Here is a 21,213-nt window from a genome sequence, read left to right as displayed (position 1 = left end):
ACCAATATTCTAACTCATCAAAGATAGAAACTTTGCAACTATATGCTGGAGACCTAATCTCAAAAATATATATAACAGTTGTTTTAGAACAAAATGCATATTTTATTGGTGGCAAAAGTTACCAATTTAACAAAAATGTCAAGTACAGATAAAACGGAATCCTTACCTTCCTTACCTATTCTATATTCAAATTGATATAAATTGTGTATAAGATCAAGAATATAATCTGTGATAGGCCAGTTATTAGGAAGATTCAACATAGTTTGACAAAGCTACTATTTTCTCCATTCTCCTTTTAAACTCTGGTATGGCCAGCACAGAAGGGTCCTAGGGTAGTGAGGATAAATTTAATCTGTATGTAATTTATTGACAGAAAAAAAAAACTTTTTGAAAGCGAATTACATGTAGAAATAAGCTACATCATTTGTTTTGTATTAGATTCTTCAGAAAAATCTTTTTTTTTTTTTTTTCTCAGATGGAGTCTCGCTCTGCCGCCCAGGCTGGAGGTGCAGTGGTGCGATCTTGGCTCACTGCAAGCTCCACCTCCTGGGTTCACGCCATTCTCCTGCCTCAGCCTCCCCAGTAGCTGGGACTACAGGCGCCCACCACCACGCCCGGCTAATTTTTTTGTATTTTTTAGTAGAGACGGGGTTTCACCATGTTGTTCAGGATGGTCTGGATCTCCTGACCTCGTGATCCTCCCGCCTCGGCCTCCCAAATTGCTGGGATTACAGGCGTGAGCCACCGCGCCCGGCCAGAAAAATCTTAAAATCAAACACAAAGACAACAGAGTAAGTCAAGGGATTTGAAAGAAAAGAGATTCATTCATTAGGGTAGACCCAGTTAACTGAGAATGGATCAGCACAATTAATATTCTTTTGGAAACAAGAAGAAGTATTTGAATCAGAAAAAGTATACAGCTTTGTACATGCATCTGATTTAAAAGGAAGTTTCAAGATATTGTTTAGTTTCTGGATATGACTTGATAAATACTAATACCAAGTCATACCAAGAAACTAAAGTTTATAGGAGAGGAAATGGATTTCTCTGAGAATTTGGAATAGTAATTTATTTAGATTAATGCCACTAAGACTTATTTATCAATATATGAGACTTGATACAACATAGCATTGAGATTGGATATCTTGTCAGTGCCTGAGATCTTTCTGTGGGGTAAGTGCTGTGAAGACAGCAGCAGGGATAGGAAATGCTCACCCTCGTAAGCAGAAAGCTACATGCACTTAGTATGACCAGGAGAGGCACACAGAAATGCTCCAGGAAAGTAGTTCTTATTGAGGAAGAGTTTTAATACCAAATAATAGGATGGTGGATATTTATCTAATGGATGGTATGAACAATCTAAGAGCTGTCAATGTAAGGACATTTAGCAAGACAGATACGTTGACATCAGGCAATCCTGTCAGCAGGTAGCAGGGTTCCAATCACAGGAAGTGTTCAGGGAGAGAACTGTCATGGATAGTGCGGATTGGCTTGCTCAGAATTGATTCCCACCTCTTTCTAGTGCGCCTTTCTACACTGCAGAGGCCGTCGAGCTAAAATCTGCATTTCCCACATTTCTGGATGTAATGTATGCTCTGCCAACCAAATGGCCTCACATAAGACTTAAATCTAGAACTGAAATAAAAACGAAGGGAAACTCAACAACGTAAAACCCAAAACTCTAATCAAAAATGGAAAATGGACTTCAATAGACATTTCTCCAAAGAAGATATGCAAATGGCCAATAAGAACATGAGAAGATGCTCAATGTCACTAATCACCAGGGAAACGGAAGTCAAAGCTACAATTTGATACTCTCTCACACCCATTAGGATGGCTACTATTGACAAAATAGAAAATAAGTGTTAGTGATGATGTGGACAAATCAGAATACTTGTGCACGGTTGGTGGGAATGTAAAATGATGCAGTGCTGTGGAAAACAGTATGGCAGCTCCTCAAAAAATTAAAAATAGAATTACCATATGATCCAGTGATTCCATTTCTGTATATACATATAAATAAATCAAAAGCAAGGCCTTGAGATATTTGCACACTCATGTTCGTAGCAGCATTAGTCACAATAGCTAAAATATGGAAGCAAACCAAGTGTCCACTGATGAATAAATGCTGCAAAATATGGTATATACATATGAGGGAATATCATTCAGCCTTCAAAAGGAAGGAAATTCTGACATGCACTACCACATAGATGAACCTTGAGGACATTTGCTAAGTGAAATAAGCCAGTCACTGAAAGACAAATACCACATGATTCCACATATATGAGGTACTTAGGGTAGTCAAAACCATAAGAGACAGAAGGTAGAAGGGTGGTTATGAGGGGCTGGGGGGGAAGGGGAGATAAGTAGTAAGTTAGCGTTGAATGAGTCAGGAGTTCTAGTTTTATAAGATGAAAAGACTTATGCAGATGGATGTTGGTGATGGCTGTGTAACTGTTAATTTTACCCAAATTTTAAAAATTAGACAAAAAATAGAGGGAAAAGTGGCATGAGGTGCCTACTTTTGCTGGTGCAGATCAAAGTGGGAGTGCTTTGATCTTGAGTTAGCAGCTGTCATCATGGCTTATTGATTTATCAGGCAGCTTCCTGATTATGACCATGGCAACAGCATTTTGGGTGGTCCATTTCAGCATCATGATTTAAGAGATTTTTCTGGAAGATCAGTCTAAAGTCTCTTCAGTTTATAAACAATTTTATACACCATTTCACAACTCATAAAACAAATTTCTTTCTGTTGACACAACCTAAAGTGGCTTTTGTTCTGTACAATTAAATCCCAATAGAGTAATTGCTGTCTCCAGTGGTTGCAAGCAACAGACTCTCAAATAAATGAGCTTCTGTGATTCATTCGCTCACCAGTTTGAACTGAAGACAGCTAAGATTCTCTGAGCATTATAACTGGTACATGCTGTTAATATATTAACTTAAATAATCACTTGGGGTTGTTTAGAATAAGAAGTCTATCAAAGGTGATGTTTTGAAGTGTTAAGTAACGCTGATCATTATGGGAAAAATAAAGAATGTAATGATTGTTGTGTGTGTGTGTGAGGTACTGAAGTTTTTCCTCTGTTTCAAAAAGCTTAAAGAAAAAATGATAAAATGGGACTTAAAGTTCTCTGTTTAAAGCATGGTCAGATAATCAAGGAACTTCTATGGTTGCCTTTAAGAATCTCCTCTGTCTTGTAGTTGCTGCACTGACAGAGCCAAAAAGCAGAACCAGTATGATTCTTAAGTTGCTGAACTGCAAGGCAGGATGAATTCATACATTTAAAAAGCTTTTTATGTGAGCATTAGGACATTTATTGGAAGGAATGGGACCAGGAAAACTGAACCAGGGACATATGATACATTCTTATGTCTCCAAGTACCTTAAAAACTCAAATTTCACTAAGTATTTCTTTTTATTTTATTTTATTATACTTTAAGTTCTAGGGTACATGTGCACAACGTGCAGCTTTGCTACTTATGTTTACATGCGCCATGTTGGTGTGCTGCATCCGTTAACTCGTAATTTACATTAGGTATATCTCCTAATGCTATCCCTCCCCCCTCCCCCCACCCGACAACAGGCCCCAGTGTGTGATGTTCCCCACCCTGTATCCAAGTGTTCTCATTGTTCAATTCTCACCTATGAGTGAGAACATGCGGTGTATGGTTTTCTGTCCTTGCGATAGTTTGCTCAGAATGATGGTTTCCAGCTTCATCCATGTGCCTACAAAGGATATGAACTCTTTCTTTTTAATGGCTACATAGTATTCCATGGTGTATATGTGCCACATTTTCTTTATCCAGTCTACCACTGATGGGCATTTAGGTTGATTCCATGTTTTTGCTGTTGTGAATAGTGCTGCAGTAAACATACGTGTGCATGTGTCTTTATAGCAGCATGATTTATAATCCTTTGGGTATATACCCAGTAATGGGATGGCTGGGTCAAATGGTATTTCTAGTTCTACATCCTTGAGGGATCACCACACTGTCTTCCACAATGGTTGAACTGGTTTACAGTCCCACCAACAGTGTAAAAGTGTGCCTATTTCTCCACATCCTTTCCATCACCTGTTGTTTCCTGACTTTTTAATGATCGCCATTCTACCTGGTGTGAGATGGTATCTCATTGTGATTTTGATTTGCATTTCTCTGGTGGCCATGATGATGAGCATTTTTTCATGTGTCTGTTGGCTGCATAAATGTCTTCTTTTGAGAACTGTCTGTTCATATCCTTTGCCCACTTTTTGATTGGGTTGTTTGATTTTTTCTTGTAAATTTGTTTAAGTTCTTTGTAAATTCTGGATATTAGCTCTTTGTCAGATGGGTAGATTGTAAAAATTTTCTCCCATTCTGTAGGTTGCCTGTTCACTCTGATGGTAGTTTCTTTTGCTGTGCAGAAGCTCTTTAGTTTAATTAGATCCCATTTGTCAATTTTGGTTTTTGTTACCATTGCTTTTGGTGTTTTAGTCATGAAGTCCTTGCCCATGCCTATGTCCTGAATGGTATTGCCCAGGTTTTCTTCTAGGATTTTTATGGTTTTAGGTCTAACATTTAAGTCTTTAATCCATCTTGAATTAATTTTTGTATAAGGTGTAAGGAAGGGATCCAGTTTCAGCTTTCTGCATATGGCTAGCCAGTTTCACCATACGCAAATCAATAAACATAATCCATCATATAAAGAGAACCAAAGACAAAAACCTTGTGATTATCTCAATAGATGCAGAAAAGGCCTTTGACAAAATTAAGTATTTCTTGAAAGCAGAAGCAAACCTGTTTCCTGTTTTATGAGGCTGTTTCTTTTTGGCCTGAGGGCCCTGCAATAACCTCACTGGAGGGAGTTAACCCACAAGGAGGTGTCAATCCTCTCTACATGCCCTACCCTCTAGCATTTCCTTCCAATCCTTAAGTAGAAGCAAATCCAGCATGCTGATGTGGTGGCAAACAAACACCAAGTCAAAGCTGAAGGGATAAGTCTTACCCAACAAAAAGAATCACAAGAGTTTGCTCATATGCAATGGCAAAAACCTGGAATATGTGTGGCAGTGGATTTCAGTGGCTCCAAACCAGGAAAGGAGAAGCATAATTTTAGATTGGGTTGAATATTTTGCATTGAGTGCACTTGCCAGAGATACTGGGTTCAATATGCTCACTTGAGCAGCTCAGAGTGTTTGATAGAAATGTGGGTGCATTGGCAGTCAATGCTTAAGTTATGATGCCAGAAATTTCTTGGGATAATGTAGAGAAATGGATGCAAACATAAGGAAACATTGGGGTATATTTATCACATGCAAATCACTCATCTATACCTAGCTATGCCTCACAAGAGAGCCCAGAATTTACCTTCTTCATTGAGGCACTACTTTCATCAAGAAATAACTTGATAAGTATCAGAATGGCTGTCCTCTGCAGGCCAGACCTGATGGTTGTAGGAGCAGCTGCCAAAGAAAAGGACTCTCTGATTTCCACAGTGGGATGGGGACCTAGGTAGGAGAATGATTTCTATGGGGAGATAGGGGCCTAGATGGCAGAATGCAAAGGACAGCACAATGATAGGGCTCAAAGACAGAGGCAAAGTAGGTGTGGTTACTGCAATATAACGATAGTAGAACTTGAGCGATGATCACGAGGTTTGACTGGGAGTGGCTAATGGAGTGAGAAGTTGCTAGGACTGAAAGAGGAATGCAGCCATTATCATCCCCTTTGATCTGTATAAACTGACACCAAAGCAAAAACAAAACTCTAGGTGATCTGAGGAACTACAATGAAGAGTTATGGTCCTATTACTGGTTCATAGACCCATCGCCCATAAATGATGGGGAAGCCAGGAACTCTTGAGGAAGTACCCTATGACAGTGCCACAAGCATGTACTGTACATCTTCATTCTCATCACCTCCTGAAAAGGGCTTGTAGGCATCTCTCAGCAAAACGAACCACCCAGATCTCTGGGGAATTATTGACATGCGCTCTAGCTAATATCAACCCTGGGGGACCCAGAATGCCACTGTGGTCTTCTACTCTGAGGAGGCTTATAGGGGTCAGGGAATCTAAGTAGGGATTTTGTCTATGTTTGCCTCACAGTGGGACAATGTGGACCCATTGGTGAATTGTTCTGCGTTTACTTCCCTAGTTTCCATTTGCACAGTTGGAATAGACATACTCGTCAACATCTCCACATTGGCTTTCTGATTCATGGAGTGAAGGCTTTGAAGGGCCAGAGAAAGCCTCTGTGCTAAGGGTACTACCAAAATGCCACACACCTGGAGGGGTTGTAGAGACCAAGGTTGCTATTAAGCAGTTGGAAAAGGTAGGGGTCATAATTCTTATTACATCCCCCAATTTCTCCACATCCTCATTAGGTTCTTGCATCCTCATTAAGCTTTCCCGTTTGACTGGTGAGAAAATAGATGGGTCTTCGGAATAATAGCAATGGATTATCACAAACTTAATGAGAGAGTGATTCCTGTTGAAGCCACTGTTCCATATGTGGTTTATTTTCTGGAGCCAGTCGGCACAGACTCTGATGTCTGATATACAGAGCTATCTATCAAGTTGGCAAATGCTTTTTAAAAAAATACTCCAATAAAAAGAGACCACAGAAGTAATTTCCTTTCAACTGGCAGGAACAGTAATGGACTAAGGGCTACATCAACTCTCTGGCTCTATATGACAATTTAGTGTAGGGATTGGCAAACTTTTCCTGTAAAGGGCCAAATAGTAAATATTCTAGGCTTTGCAGGCCACAAATGGTCTCTGTTCCATATTCTTCTTCTTCTTTCTTTTTTTTTTCAACTTCACAAAACAAAAACCACTCTTAGCTTGCAAGATTTACAAAAATGGGGTGCAGGTCAGATTTGACTTCCAGGCTGTAGTTTGCTGACCCCTAGCCTAGCTCACATGGACTTTGGCCATCTCACCAGTCCACAAAACATCACACTGTTAATTACTTTGACACCACTATTAGTATGGAACCCAATGAGCAGAAGGTAGCTTAGATGTCTTAATAAGACATTTTGATGTCAAAGATGAAAGATAAATCCTTTGAAAGTTCAATGGCCTGTCCAAGATACAAAGCCAATTTTCAAAAAATTGTTTTTAATGTGGGGGTTCACTAACAAGGAAAAATACAGTCAGTAGAACTGGACACAGGCTCTGGGAGGGATGAACAATAAATATCTCAAACCTGGCTCTTCCAGTATCATGTGTCTGTCTTCAACACCCTCTCATGAAAGGCCTTTGGAACTGAGAAGTGTCAAATGGCTCAGCTACAAGGAGAGGAGAAATGCAGTGGCCAGGAACTACAGGCTTTGATAAAACAAGTCTCTGAAATATTGATTCTGAGCCTCTTCACCAATAAGCCATTTGGATTGGGAATATTGTCTGTCACTGAGATAGAAGCCAGTCACATTTACCTTTAATTTTATTCCTCAGATTCCCAGAAAAAAAATCTACCTACAGGTGATATAAAAATAGCTACGTCTCAAGAAAATTTAAAAGAAAGAAACATTCAGAGATTGCTGAAAACTATGTAATTATGTAATTGTGCAAGTAGGTATGACTTTTCTTCTTTATTCATTTTAAGAACAGTTTAAATTGGCTTGTACATTATAAAAATTTAGCCTTTCATCAATACTTGGATAAATAAACTGCAGCCTCCCTGGAATATAGATTATCAAGAGACAATCAAGCTGTGGTTTACTATTTCACGTAGTATGCTTTCTCTTTCAGACCTAATAAAAGCCACAACTGCATGTTTTAGTGTAGAAAGCAGAACAAAGACCCGGCAGTGTTCCTCTCATTTTAGAAAGATAAAGCTCCACAATTAATAGCATATTAGGAGTTTGACCTGAACGGTAAGAGATTTGACTTTCCTATGCTGTTTTGGCTTAACCCCATCTATAAGTGTGGTCTGTAGTGGTGACAAGTACTTGAACCTCTCTCTTTGATTCCATGACCTTTAGTAGAAACATATTTCACTGTATGTGTGTGTGTTTTCATCAAAGGCTACTTTCTTATGTGAATGTGTATTCATTTCATTAAGGACCTCTATTAGCCTGGTGGCTAATATCCCCTTCAAGCTGAAATCCCCAGCTCACAGCTCTCTGCTCTCAGACACAATGCTAGGATGCTCTTTTTTTTTTTTTTTTTGAGGAGTTTCATTCTTGTCACCCAGGATGGAGTGCAGTGGCGCAATCTTGGCTCACTGCAACCTCCACCTCCTGCGTTCAAGTGATTCTCCTGCTTCAGCCTCCCGAGTAGCTGGGATTACAGGCACCCACCACCATGCCTGGCTAATTTTGTATTTTTAGAGAGACAGGGTTTCACCCTGTTGATCAGGCTGATCTCAAACTCCTGACTTCAGGGGATCTGCCCACCCCGGCCTTCCAAAGTGCTGGGATTACAGGCTTGAGCCACTACACCCGGCTAAGATGCTCTTTAGAGCATGGACATCTGATCTAAGGCTAGCTTACCCATGTATGGGTCTGCAACCTATGAGGCAGCTTGCTGCAAGAGGCTCTCTTTTTAACAGGAGAGATGTTAATGACCTCAATCTAATGCTACCCTTTGCAATTTAGACTGAGGAGAATGGAGATCATTCAGTTAGTGGGAGGAGAGGAAAGGGTTAACTTTAAATAGAAGCACAGTCAATGAAAATTGCTGAGAAGTATTAATTATCCAAGGGAAGCATGCAGAAGATACCAAGACTGTGGTCCTGGATGGCAAGTTCCCCAAGTTTTCCTCATCCCTCCCCTCGTAGCTATGTAGTAGAAAGTAACTGGGACCCCAGTAACACCAATGCCAGCAACTTCTCTGGCAGAGAAAAATAACAGATACAGGGAGAAGGGACCCACCATTACAGGCCAAATACCGCAGACTCCTAGTATTTCATGTTTGCCCAGTGTGTCTGTATTCCTTGTAACTATCACCCAAACATTTGCAATTTCTTCAGCTTTCAAGGATCACACTTCCTTTAACAAATAAGATTAGTTAGGGCTGTCATCCTGTTTTATTTTAGGAAGTCTAGTATTTTTTTTTTGATCCAAAACATGTTTATATATTCCACCCATTTGTTCTGGTTTGGAAAGCCCCTTTACCTAATCATCTTCTGGTTCCAACACCATGGCTGGTTTCTCCAGACTGTTGCTGCCTCCCTTGCTCATCCTGGGAAGGAACAAAGTTATCAGGTTAGGCTAAGATTCTGTGACTGACTCTACTTTACACCTGGGAGATGGATGGTAAGCACAAGAAGGAATGACAGTGGAGGAAGAAAAAGAAAAAATACCATGCGATTTCTTAGTCTTCTATACTTCTGAAGTCCTTCATGAAGAGTACGTGGGATGGGGAGTGTTATGGATTTAATTTAATGTTTTCTCCTTCTTTCCAAATTCATATGTTGAAATGCGAATCTGCAATGTGATAATCTTAGGAGGTGGGGCTTTGGCTACTAATTAAGTAATTAAGTCATGAGGGTGGAGTTCTCATGAATGAGATTAGTGTCCTTATAAGGAAGAGGCATGAAGAAATGATTAGTCTGGTGAGACCATGTGAAGATATGATGAGAAGATGGCTGTCTATGAATCAAGAATCAAGACACAGAAACTGCCGGCACTTTGAACTTGGAGTTTCCATCCCCCAAAACTGTGAGCAATAAATGTTTGTGGTTTAAGCCACCCAGTCTATCATATTCTGCTGCAGCATTCTGAGCTAAAATACGGGGATGGAGCAAATGGGGGTGCTGAAGGGATGCAACTTGTTCTGCCAACATGTTACAGGCAGTATTTCCCAGTTTTAAAAGAAAAATACCTTTGGTTATGGGTTCCCTTCCTGGGGTCCCGTTCCCCTAAAGTCTTTTGACGTCCAGCAAGAGGCAAATCCAGTTTCTCCCTTATCCACTAACCCTATCCCTCAGTTCAAAACCTTCCTCCAAAATACATCATGCTCATAAATTTGGTAGGACCCAGAATCATCTAGAAGACAACACTTTTCATCATCTTACAGAGCTGTTTACCCCTTCCCACTATTTTAGAACTCCCACTGTAGAATATAATTCTTTTTGACTTTACCATTACAAAAACCCACAAAGTACTTTTTCCCAAAATAGAAAAAAATTTGACCACATGGTTCAAGTTAAATCTCCATTTGGAGAACTTGATAAAATGTCACAGTTTTAAAATAGTGGTGTTTCCCTTGCCTTCTGTTCCCACTCACCCCGGCATATCCCATCTATCAAAGTTTTAAAAAATACTTGAGTCTACTCTCAGCTAGAGCTTTTGGGTATAAAACCAGAAAAGGGTAACTCAGATGGAGGGGGAAGTTTATTTTTACATTACAGAAAGCATTAAGTGAATCACTTATTTGTTTTTATTATAACTTTCATGAAACTAAAATTCAGTCCTGTAAAATGTAACTTCATTTTAGGCCAAATAAAATGGTTGTCTTTGGTTGTCTATTCACATTGATGAATTTTCTCAACTTTTTCCTTCTTTTTTTGAAATAGGTTTCAAATGATCCTATTTGCCCATAAGTGCTGTGTTTCAAAGGAAAAACATTTTTGAGCTATCTATAATGATTTCTCAGCTTTTAACTTAGAGAATGTTACAGTGATTCTGTGTGAGAAGCTTGTATTCTATTTACAAAGAAAAATATCTGTAACGTTATATTTTTCTGGAGTATGCTGTAGATACAAACACTTCAGTGTATATAAAAAAAAGTTACTCTGGAATGTCTAAAGTTTTAAAAAAGTTAGTGATTCCACACGTGCATACACAATATACATACATACACAGTCACATATTTGTGTAACACTGGATACTACTTTTGAAGTATTCAAGATGAATTTTCTCCTTGTGGTAACAAATTCTTTCTCTGAATCTACTCTCTCATTATGGTCCCAAGAAAGGGAAGCACAAGCGACACCAGATGATGTAGGAGCCTTGGGAATAGGGTGGGAAAGTAGAAAGCTGGGAGAGGAGATAGGGCAGAAAATGAGGAGGAGGAAGGGCAGGAGAATGGTGATTTTCCTTGTTCCTCCTTACAGGTTGATTGGCAGTGGGAGAGAGTAGATATAACAAGATACAATTTGAAGAACTCCAAACACAATGTGTCTCAGAAGTCTCACACCCCGCATGGTGTAACATGCTAGAGAGCATTGGCAGAGGGAAGTATCTGGACAGGTATGCCATGCAGAGATGCAAGGTTCCTGATGACCTTGTGGAGCAGGGAAGGGTACTGAGAAAGCCATGGATCAGAAGGTGCTGATCTGTGGTGTGGATCCCCATCCAAATAGGGAGTCCAAAACAGCCAAAGAGGAACCCCCCAAACTGACAGATTTTCAAAAAGTTAGTGAGAAGTTCAAATTGGATCTAATTTCACTTAAAAATAAATAAATATAACATTCCCTAGATTCCAAGCTCTCAGAATTTTCTGGGGCCTTTGCATCTGTTGCATAAACCTAAATAAAACATGGTTTTACTCTTAGGAGGAGCTTGCAACCCAGTGAAGGAGACAGATGGGTAAACAAATACAGTGCAGTAAGAGACACAACCAAGTAAAATGCTCAGTGCTAGGAGACCACAGAAAAGGATTAACCGGGCAGTCTTCACAGAGTAGGTGATGTTCCAATCAGACCTGAAGGATAAGTCTACCAGGAGGGCCTTACTCATGCCTGTGATGGGATGCCTGCCAATTATGTTCCCTGAAATCCTCCATCTATCAAATGCCACTTCATGAAGATTTTTCTGATCCTTCCAACTCGATTTGGTTTCTCCTGCCTTCTAATATTCATGGCACTTCCGCTTACTCTATTGATATATAATATCTCACTTCATTTTGTACCTATTTGCATACTTTCCTTGTCGCCTCAACTAAATTATATCTGCTCATCGCTGTGTTGCCACATCCCCTTACCTTGTGTGTGCTAGACACTGTTAACCTAAGTAACAAACACAGAGAGGCTCTCTTAGAGAAAAAGTTACTTATTTGAGAATAGAGCATTGCAATGGGAATATGTGTGCATGTCATAGAAACCATGTGCATATTCAGGGCGGTAAAGAAAGTCAAAGGTTTTTAAAGGAAAAAGGAGGAGGATTATACAACTGATTCAAAATGATATTATTTGGCTACAAATACCAATACCAGGGATGATTCCAGGCTGGGTTGAACGGGCAGTTGCAAGGCAGATGTCCATGCAGAACTATTTTTTGTGTAAGGTTGTGATGGCCTAAAGTGTCAGGTTGTGCTTTTTGCAGAGCTCTTTGTGAGAGTTTTGTTACGAGGATACTCGTGTGGGAACCCTTTCTTCACGGCCTTCCCTGGCGCTGTTTGTTAGGGAGGGTTTTTTTTTCTTAATTTAACATTAGTGTTTGACATCTGTTATGGGCTGAATTGTGTCCCCCTCACCCCAGAATTCATATGTTGAAGCCCTAGCACTCAGTGCCTCAGGATATGACTGTATTTGGAGATAGGACTTTTAAAAAATGCTTAGGTTAAAATGAGGCCATTAGGGCAGGCCCTGATACAATCTGACTGGCATCATTGTAAGAGGAGGAAATTTAGACACATACAGACACATCAGGGTTGCACATGCACATTCCATTTTGATACTGATAACTTTCATACACTCAATAAATATAATGTTAGAGTAAACCAAATAGGAAATAAATAATAGAAGATAGGTTTATGAAAATCAACTTTGACTCTGCCAAAGAAGGGAGACAAAATGGTGCCCTTTTCACCTTTTTATTCCCAGAGCCAAGCACAATTTGTGGCAAGTAGTAGATGCTCAGTGAACACTTGTTAGAACTGAATTGAAGATATAGGGAAGAGGGTTGTAAAGATAGACTGAGAGTTAGAAGTGGTTCTGCCGAGAGTCTCCATAACAAACTCTCTGGAAAATTCTTTGCTCATATGGCACGGACTTTAGCCAGATTCTCCAGAAGGGTGTTACTTTTCACAGGTGTGGACTAGTATTTCTATGACAAATGTGAGGTTGTAGGTAATGGTGAAATAGCTAGCCTAGAACACAAACGTTGGAGGATTTCATGAGGACACTCTGCTGTTGCCATGTTCATCTCCATCTTCTTCAGTCTCAGCAAAAGATTATGGGTAAAAAAAAAAAAAGTAGCACAAGATGGACAGCAGGTCATGTCCTCACAGTGTCTTGGATTTTTGGTCACTCTAGGAGGAAGGGACTATTATCCCTAGTTTTACAGATAAGGAAACAGAGACTCAGAAATTTTAAGGCACTTATGAAAGGTCACACAGCTGGTGAATGTGACACCATGAATGGAGCCCTAATTTGTCCAATTCTGAAGCACGAATTTTGCCTTGATGAACAAATGAAGGAGAGGAGTCTCCAGAGATACAGGTTTAACTAAGAGGTTCTAGTTTCTCCTGACATCTGACCAATTCTTCTGACTTGCTCTGGTGATTACAGTTGGTCTATTTCAGCCAAAATCAGGTCACCAGGAGATGGCAGAGCTGGATTATACCAAGAAAAAGAGACCCAGGATGGTATTTTGACAAGATGATTAGATATAGAGAAAGTTTTGAAAATAGGTGAGAAGAATCTATTTATGTCTTTAAGTGTGGAAGATAAGATAGAGACATTGATGAAGAAAATTAACAAAATATTCAGAGGTAAGATGCTCACTTCTGGAAAGAGCGAGTGGCTCTCATCAATCTCTCTGATTACCACAAACATTTCCTAAAATGTGTCTGATATATAAGGTTCTTTTCCATTTTATGCTTTTAGTGACATAATTAGGTAATAAAAAAGTGTTTGGATGAAAATAGGGAGAGTAACAAAAATAATTAATTCAGATGCTTTCTTTTTTGAAGACTTCTGTTAAAAAAAGCTTCCTACTTCTTGAAATGAAGCAGCATAATACTGTCACCTTCAATCCCCCTAAATTTGAATATAGCTATCTTTACCTAATGCTTTTCTATAATTTTTCATTTGTGATTTTATTCTTTTGCCGGCATTTGCTAAACATAATCATGTAAGCTATTATGTTGTAACTTACAGATACTACTCTCTTTAAGAAAATAGCATTTCAGGATCAGATGCGGTGGCTTATGCCTGTAATCCCAGCACTTTGGGAAGGCCGAGGCAGGCAGCATCAGGAGGTCAGGAGATGGAGATCATCCTGGCTAACACGGTGAAACCCCATCTCTACCAAAAATACAAAAAATTAGCTGGGCGTGGTGGTGTGCACCTGTAGTCCCAGCTACTCGGGAGGCTGAGGAAAGAGAATGGCGTGAACCTGGGAGGTGGAGCTTGCAGTGAGCTGAGATCGTGCCACTGCACTCCAAACTGGGTGACAGAGCAAGACTCCATCTCAAAAAAAAAAAAAAAAAAAAAAAAAAAAAAAAGAAAATAGCATTTCAAACAATACATCAGTGAGAATTATATATATTAGCAGATTTTTTTTCAGTTAAATATATTTTTCCTACAACCAGATTTAAAGAATCAGATCATCTAGGACAAATATTCTTAATATGGAATCATAGATGCTATTCAGGGGTATCAATGAGCTTCCTGAGAAGATATTAAAACATGAAATATAAAAGGATATCAGTTAAGTTTTTAAACCTTGGGTATAAAAAGTGGAACATAATTTTTCTACCATAAAATTAACTTAATTATAAGCCCCTATTTGTACTCAGAAATAGCAAATTTAATTTAGTTTTCTTAGTTGTATCCAGTAATCTAAACCAAGTCTACCCTGGTTTAAAACTTACTCAGTTTAAGTATTGCTGCCCCTCCCATTTTTCCTTCGCCTTTACTTCCAGGGGAGCTTGTTGGTCCAGGGGAGACTTACACAGCATCATGACACTGGGGGACATGTCTGTCATTTTCTGAAGAGCTGACTTGGCTTCCATTCTAGAGGTGTGAATGAAGATGGCATTACTCTAGTGCATAGCCACTGACTCTTCTGAGGTCATTGCCATGGCAATTGTAGCCACACCTTTATGTTTCCATAGACAGGCCACGCCCTTTCCTTGGCATTTAATCTGGTCGCCCTCCCAGGGGACCTCTTGGTGATTACCTGTCCTGCTGGCTGTCACTCCTGACTAACTTCCAGGCCTCCTATAGCCCAAAGGAACCACAGCCTCTTCCTCATCACTTAGGCAACAAAATCCCAGGGATCATTAGCCCTTTAGGATCTAGATAAGGCATGCTAGCATTTATATTCCCACTTTACACCCTTGCCTTCTTGATACTCCAAGGGGAAAACAGTACAAGTATTTACTCTTGGGTCCTCTTTACAGAAGGGAGAAATTTATATCCAAACTTCACCCCCAGACCCTTTCTGGAGTTTGTTGTAGTGCACATTTGTTATGGGCTGAATCTTGTCCCCCTCAAATTCATATGTTGAAGCCTTAGCACCCAGTATCTCAGAATATGACTGCATTTGGAGATAGGGCCTTTAAAAGACAATTAGATTAAAAGAGGCCATTAGGGCAGGCCCTAATCCAATCTGACTGGTGTCCTTATAAGAGGAGGAAATTTAGACGCACACAGACACCAGGGCTGCAAATGCACACAGGAAAGACCACCTGAGGACACAGCGAGACAGCAACATTTGCAAGCCAAGGAGACAGGCCTCAGAAACCAAACCTGCCTATTCCTCAGCCTTTGACTTACAGCCTCCTGAACTGTGAGAAATACATTTCTATTGTTTAAGCCACCAAACCTGTTGGTAAGAGGTTATGGCATCCCTAGTGGACGAATACAGCATTCCCCACATTATAACTCTCTCCCCTCCTTCTAAGAGCTCAGTCTTCATTTCCTACTACAGCTTATTTAGGACTCATTGGAGCAGGAGCTGGTGAAGAGGGAGCTAGTTCTCTGCATTCACATATGTCCCCCACCCCAACCCATTTTTTGGCTTGTACATACCGGGCATTTTGAAGGTTTTAAGAATCTGGAGTCTTTATTTCATTTGTTCAAATAACAATGACTGGGGGAAGACAAAAGCAATATAAAGTGTTAAGTTCCAGGTCTCAAATAAATATGTCATATAACATCCCATTGTAACTGTGTGTGTGCATGCTCATATTTTTCTGGGAAATGAGTCCACAGCTCTCCTCAAATTCTCCAATGGATTTATGACTGCAAAAATGTTAAGATTCACCACCCTATTATATTTGAAATGTGACTCATTTTCAAATATATGATTTACATACAATTTTACAAATATAACCACTATGCAAAGCGCAAGAGCCACGAATATTTATTTTCAATCAATGTAAAATTCTAGCACACTCATTTGTTTTATTTTAAAAATCTCTTATTTAATTTGCCATGAAAAAAGAAGCTAAAGTAAACTGTCTGTGAAAAACTTGATTTCTTTCTCATACTCACCCAGCCCCATGCCGAGAGATCATAAAATCATACTGCTACTTATACTGGGAACAGCTATCTTCGAGCACTACCAACAGTAAGAGGCATTCCATCTTATTCAATATTCAAACATGCATATGCATTAATACACCATAGACATTATTGCTTTTTTAATATTTCTTTTTCCTACTTTCTTTTGTCTTTTGTGTCAATGTTGATGAAACAACCAGGAATAGGAGATAGTAGTGGTCAGGAATGACCTGTATTCCTTCCCTCATTTTGGGAATTTTCATCCTTTTTCTTCTTCTTCAGCCTCCCACTATAATCTACCTAATTACTACAGTAGGTATGAAAATGTCACTTGATTACCATCCCTGGCCAAGGTTGTTGGCTGGGGTTTGGTAGCTGGAAGAATCACAGTACTTGGAGAATTTGGAACTGGTTCACAAGTTATAAAGTTTAAGAGTCGTTAGCCACCATGCAATTTAGTGCACACCAGAGAAGCAGAGAGTGAGACAATGTATGTGGGGAGAGAGAGAAAGAGGGAGAGAGATACAGAATGGGACAGTTAATGTAGTGGGGGAAAAGAGACAGAGAAAGTTCTAATGGCCTGTCTGTTTCCAGTCATTCCTAGTGCCCAGTTGCATTCTTGTTTTGGGGTTCCATGGGGCAGCCAAGTATCTTTACAATAATTTATCCTTTTTACTTTAGTTCTTATTTCTAACAACATCCCCCTTAATTTAAATACACACAGACATACACACACAATATACACACAAGAGATGATGCTAATGTATACATAACAAAGTTTCTGTAATTTTTAAGTTTTTAAAAATTGAGATGAAAACAAGGACTTACTTTACAAGTTATTGTTAACATAACTGAGTAAGCATTAAAAAACCTATATGATGCTTGGTGCTATATTCTAGAAGAGATTTTGAATAGTGAAGGATCATAAAAGTAGATATGATGTCATATTAATCTCACCTGAGATAAAAATCTAGAGGAACAATGAATCTATGGAGAGAGTGTAGGCTGCTTCACTGCAAAGGCGAGTGTGACACCAACCCTGTAGATCCTGGCTTGATTTTATTGCTTTAGACAGCAAGGTAACTACAGGGAATCACCTTTGACTTCTGGCCCTACAAAGATATTTCAAAAGGAAATGAAAAATATTTTGTCCTTCATTGGCAAATGGAGTTATGTTTTGGGGGTACAAGTCAGCAAAAGTTCAAGGTTTGTAAAAGTGAATGCTGAATGAGTTTATTAAACCACGGAAGCATCTGAATCCTCCAGGCTTATTCAAGGAAAAAGCCACCAAATAACTAAAAAAGGTAAATATCAGGATGATTGATGGATTTTTAAAAATGCCTTGTGGTACATGCATCTGATGGCATCCTGATTCATATTCTCTCTTTTCTGAGAATTCAAACTTCCTACGTGATGTACACAAGTAAGTCACATATTCTTCAGCCGCCCTGTAAAAGGACTTTGTCAGCATGGTCCATGTCTGGACTTTAATTATAATAGGGTCCTCTAAGCATCTCACTTTAAACGTCCATTTCCATAGAATCAGTAACTGCATTTATTTTACAACTCAGTCTTTTAGGAGGTATGGTTTGGTATTTCTGGCATTGCTGCTGTAGTCTTCATAAACACACACACGCACAGACACACACACACACACACTCTTCCACTTAGAGGACAGATATGTTAACCATATTTCCAATTTAGTAGCAAAGCTCTGACATCCTAATGTCCTGATATTATTTCAATCTCTCTCTATTGTGAGAAAAATCAGAAACTGCCCAGTGAGAAAGTTGTATCATCTTTCCAGCAGATCTCTATGAACACGGCTTACCCATTGCTTGGAGATGGGTGTGTTCAGTGCTGCCCCATGGAGGAGAAATCTAACTGTGTGAAGGCTTCTCAAAGCTGATCCACATCTTGACAGGGATTATTTGTTCCTCACTCTCCTATCTCTCTGCATTCAGCTCACTTGGGGTAGAGGCTGAGCATAGGAGAAAAAGCTTGAAGAGAAGCAAAAGGAAGGGCTTCGGGGGCGCCAAGCAGTTTCTGGCCTATAGTGTTTATTATTTGATTCTATAAACATTTATTGAAACTACAGAATATTAGGTATTGTCCCAAGCTCTGGGAGCAGAGTGATGAAAAAAATAAATGAAACGAACAAACAACTCCCCCCACCAAACAAAACAAAACAAAACAAAACAAAACAAACCCAAAGTCCCTGTCCTCATTGGCAAGGCTTATAATGTGGTGGTCAAAGGTTTGAGGAGTGAAAGGATGCCTAGATGCGGGCAGTGACAGCAGGGGTGACAGCTGGGGGTACATACAGCTTCCTGGTTTGTGAAACTGTTAAGCCCCGACTTAACCCAAATTGATTTCACTGTCCTGACTTTGAGATTCCAGTCTTTTTGCATGGCAAATGTAACACTTGTGTACAAGCATTCGTACACTGCTTTACTTAAAATGTGATTTTAAAGCGCCCTCAGGGAGAAGGGCTGGGGTGTCTTGATGGGCTGGCTCTGGGCACCTTTACCTTTGAACGGCTCCATCAAAACCTTTCCGAGAGAGCCGCCAGGTGGCACCTGTAAAGCGCAGATGGGGAGAGTCATTTGCCCCACACCCTACACAGCCCGGAATAACCAGGGTGCGTGCTTTCCCCTGTGGGCTTGTTAGGGGCTAGGAAGTGGGGGAGTTTTAGTCTCCGTCCAGACTGCTTGCTTACATACCCCGTTTTCCTGATACCCCAACACATTCAGGGCGGATTTGTCCCCACGCACCCGGGATATCAAAGGCATGTCATACGCTAGTTGGGAGCATCTCGGCCTCAGTCACCCGCCGCGACGTGGGAACTGGCGGTGGGTGGCCGAGGGCTGCTCTAAGCTGGTCTCCTCAGCCCGACCTCTGCCCGGGGCAAGGGGGAGGAGGGGCAAGAGACAGGGGTCCCAGCGCGGCTGCAGACTGGGGTCCAGCAGGCGTGAATGGATGCCTAGACGCAGGCAGTGACAGCAGGGATCCCAAGCCCCTTCCAAAAACCCTCGGTCTAGGGACTGCGCTGCCATAGGCCGGGGTCTGGGGCGCTTTCTTCCTCCCGCGGGTTCTTTCTCTGTGGTTTCTCCTGCCCCCGCAGCAGCGTGGCGGCCTCGGGTCCCCCCTCGTCGCGGTAGCGGTGATCCCACAGCCCAGTCTGGGTGGGCGACCCAGCGGGCAGAGGGGCCGCAGAAAGGGGTCGGGGTACGGGGTGTGAGCACACGGAGCCAGCGTGGTAATTTCGGGGTGGGCAGCCGGGCCACCATCTCCGCTCTATCAGTAGCGGGAAGCGAGCAGCGCCAGTTGCGCGACTGTCGCTGCCACGGCCGCCTCTACTCGGTCGCTGGTGACATTGGGAGGAGACCGCTTGGAGAGAGCAGAGGAGGAGGAAGAGGAGCGGGGAGGGTGGGGGTTGGGGTGGAAGAAAGTAGCAATTGTGCCAGGGGGCGTGTGAGCAGCCGGAGAGCCAGCCGCGCTGGTGACAACTTCTCTGGGGCGCGCGCGGGGCTGGTAGGCGAGGAGCGAGCAGGGAGCGCGGCCGAAGCCAGAGGCTGGGGGAGCTGCTGGAGCCTCGCGAAGCCGCGGCCGGCGCCCTGCGCCGTCGCCGCCGCCTGCTAGTTTCCTCCGGGTTCTCAGCCCCGGGTACTGAGGCTTCGGTCTATAAATAGCAGGTTACAGCTCCTCCTGGGCGCGCACACGCTCACACGCTCGCAAGCGAACGCAGGAAAGTCAGGCTAAAAGTGTCTGCTGCTGCTGCCGCCCCCCACTCCGCCTCCGGGAGAGGTAATTACCCGCCTGGGATCCTAGGGCTCGGTGGGGGAATTTTGCAGGGTGGGGTGGTTGATGGTGGGTAATCCGGGAGGCGAGGGAGCGTGTCTGAGAGCGTGGCGGCACGTCTTGGAGGGGGGAGCCTGTCTGTTTTGCATCAAGTTTCTCCGTCTTGCAGCCTCCATCACCCCTCCAGCTCTTTAGCTTAAAGGGTGGGGTGGGCTGTCTCTCCTCGGCTGCTGGGGTACCCCTGTCACCGCGCCTACCCTCTCGCCGAGCGCCCCTCTGCCCGGCGCGCGCGCGTTTTCGCATTCTCACTCACACACGCACACTCTCCGGGCCCCCGTGGAACTCTGAGCTCTGGCCTCGCTGACCTTCCAAGGCTGCGCCCACCTGCGCTGTCCCTGAGAGACGCTGAGGTTGGCCCGGGCACTCGCTCTCACTTCCAATCCTGATGATCGCAAGCTGCCGCCGCCGCCGCCGCCGCCGCCGCCGGCCTGGGAAGAAGTCCTTAAGGAATAGAGGCAGTGGTGGGGAGTGAGGGTGACTGATGTTGGTGGTCCCGGTTGCCTTGTTTTTTGTTTTAAAAATAAAGAGCCCATCTCCTTGACCACCTTCATCCCACCCTCAACAACTCATTCTGGCAGAGAAGCCTGGCATGTCTTCTCTCGGCCATCAGGCAGCATCTCTTGTCCTTCCCCAAAGAGGTCTCGCTGAGAGGTTAGGGCCTTGGCGCAAGAGTGCCTGGGTTTGGACGGGGGAGGTCATTGTTTCGGGTCTGAGAACTATGCTGCAGGCTCCTCAAGCTCTCTGGCGCTCAGGCAGGGCCCAGGGCCGGGGAATGTCTGGGAGCCTGGTTCCTGAATGTAGTTTCAGGCTGGTAGCTGATATGAAGATGAGGATGCTAGAACCACATATACCTGTTTTTCCCCCTCCCCACGCTTCTGAATTCTCCCTTCCTTGGGGGCAGTAGTTTCTGCTCCTGGGGAGTCGGTGGAGAGGGGCCCAGCAGTTTCTCTTTGGGGACAAGAGG

At 42.1% G+C, this 21,213-nt stretch overlaps 1 protein-coding gene and 2 long non-coding RNA genes across 13 annotated transcripts in view, besides 1 other annotated feature; 2 read left to right on the top strand and 1 right to left on the bottom strand.

Annotated features, from left to right (window-relative positions):
* Nucleotides 1-21,213, top strand: part of USP38-DT (USP38 divergent transcript) — a 396,420-nt gene that overhangs the window by 318,458 nt on the left and 56,749 nt on the right. The window lies entirely within an intron of this gene.
* Nucleotides 8,995-14,930, bottom strand: LOC124900788 (uncharacterized). Its single transcript, XR_007058286.1, has 2 exons — nt 14,753-14,930; nt 8,995-9,172 (listed from the first exon to the last, which is right to left on the bottom strand). It is a non-coding gene; the product is annotated as an uncharacterized LOC124900788 (long non-coding RNA).
* Nucleotides 18,760-19,346: an enhancer, noted in NCBI's record as "H3K4me1 hESC enhancer chr4:143768211-143768797 (GRCh37/hg19 assembly coordinates)". NCBI's record gives its function as "activates a minimal SCP1, AML or CMV promoter by ChIP-STARR-seq in naive and primed H9 embryonic stem cells {active_cell/tissue: H9 hESC(naive and primed)}" and the evidence as "EXISTENCE:reporter gene assay evidence [ECO:0000049][PMID:30033119]".
* Nucleotides 19,869-21,213, top strand: part of INPP4B (inositol polyphosphate-4-phosphatase type II B) — an 823,376-nt gene continuing 822,031 nt past the window's right edge. For 7 of the 11 annotated variants that reach the window (NM_003866.3, XM_047416359.1, XM_047416356.1 and 4 more), the window contains exon 1: nt 19,869-20,195. The gene's annotated coding sequence lies outside the window, so the exon portion shown is untranslated. The remainder of the gene's footprint in view (nt 20,196-21,213) is intronic. The other 4 variants (NM_001101669.3, NM_001385336.1, NM_001385335.1 and 1 more) reach the window with 1 other exon arrangement.

Source organism: Homo sapiens, chromosome 4 (assembly GCF_000001405.40).
Source record: "Homo sapiens chromosome 4, GRCh38.p14 Primary Assembly".
Classification (NCBI taxonomy): domain Eukaryota; kingdom Metazoa; phylum Chordata; class Mammalia; order Primates; family Hominidae; genus Homo; species Homo sapiens.
This window is presented reverse-complemented; position numbering and strand designations above follow the sequence as displayed.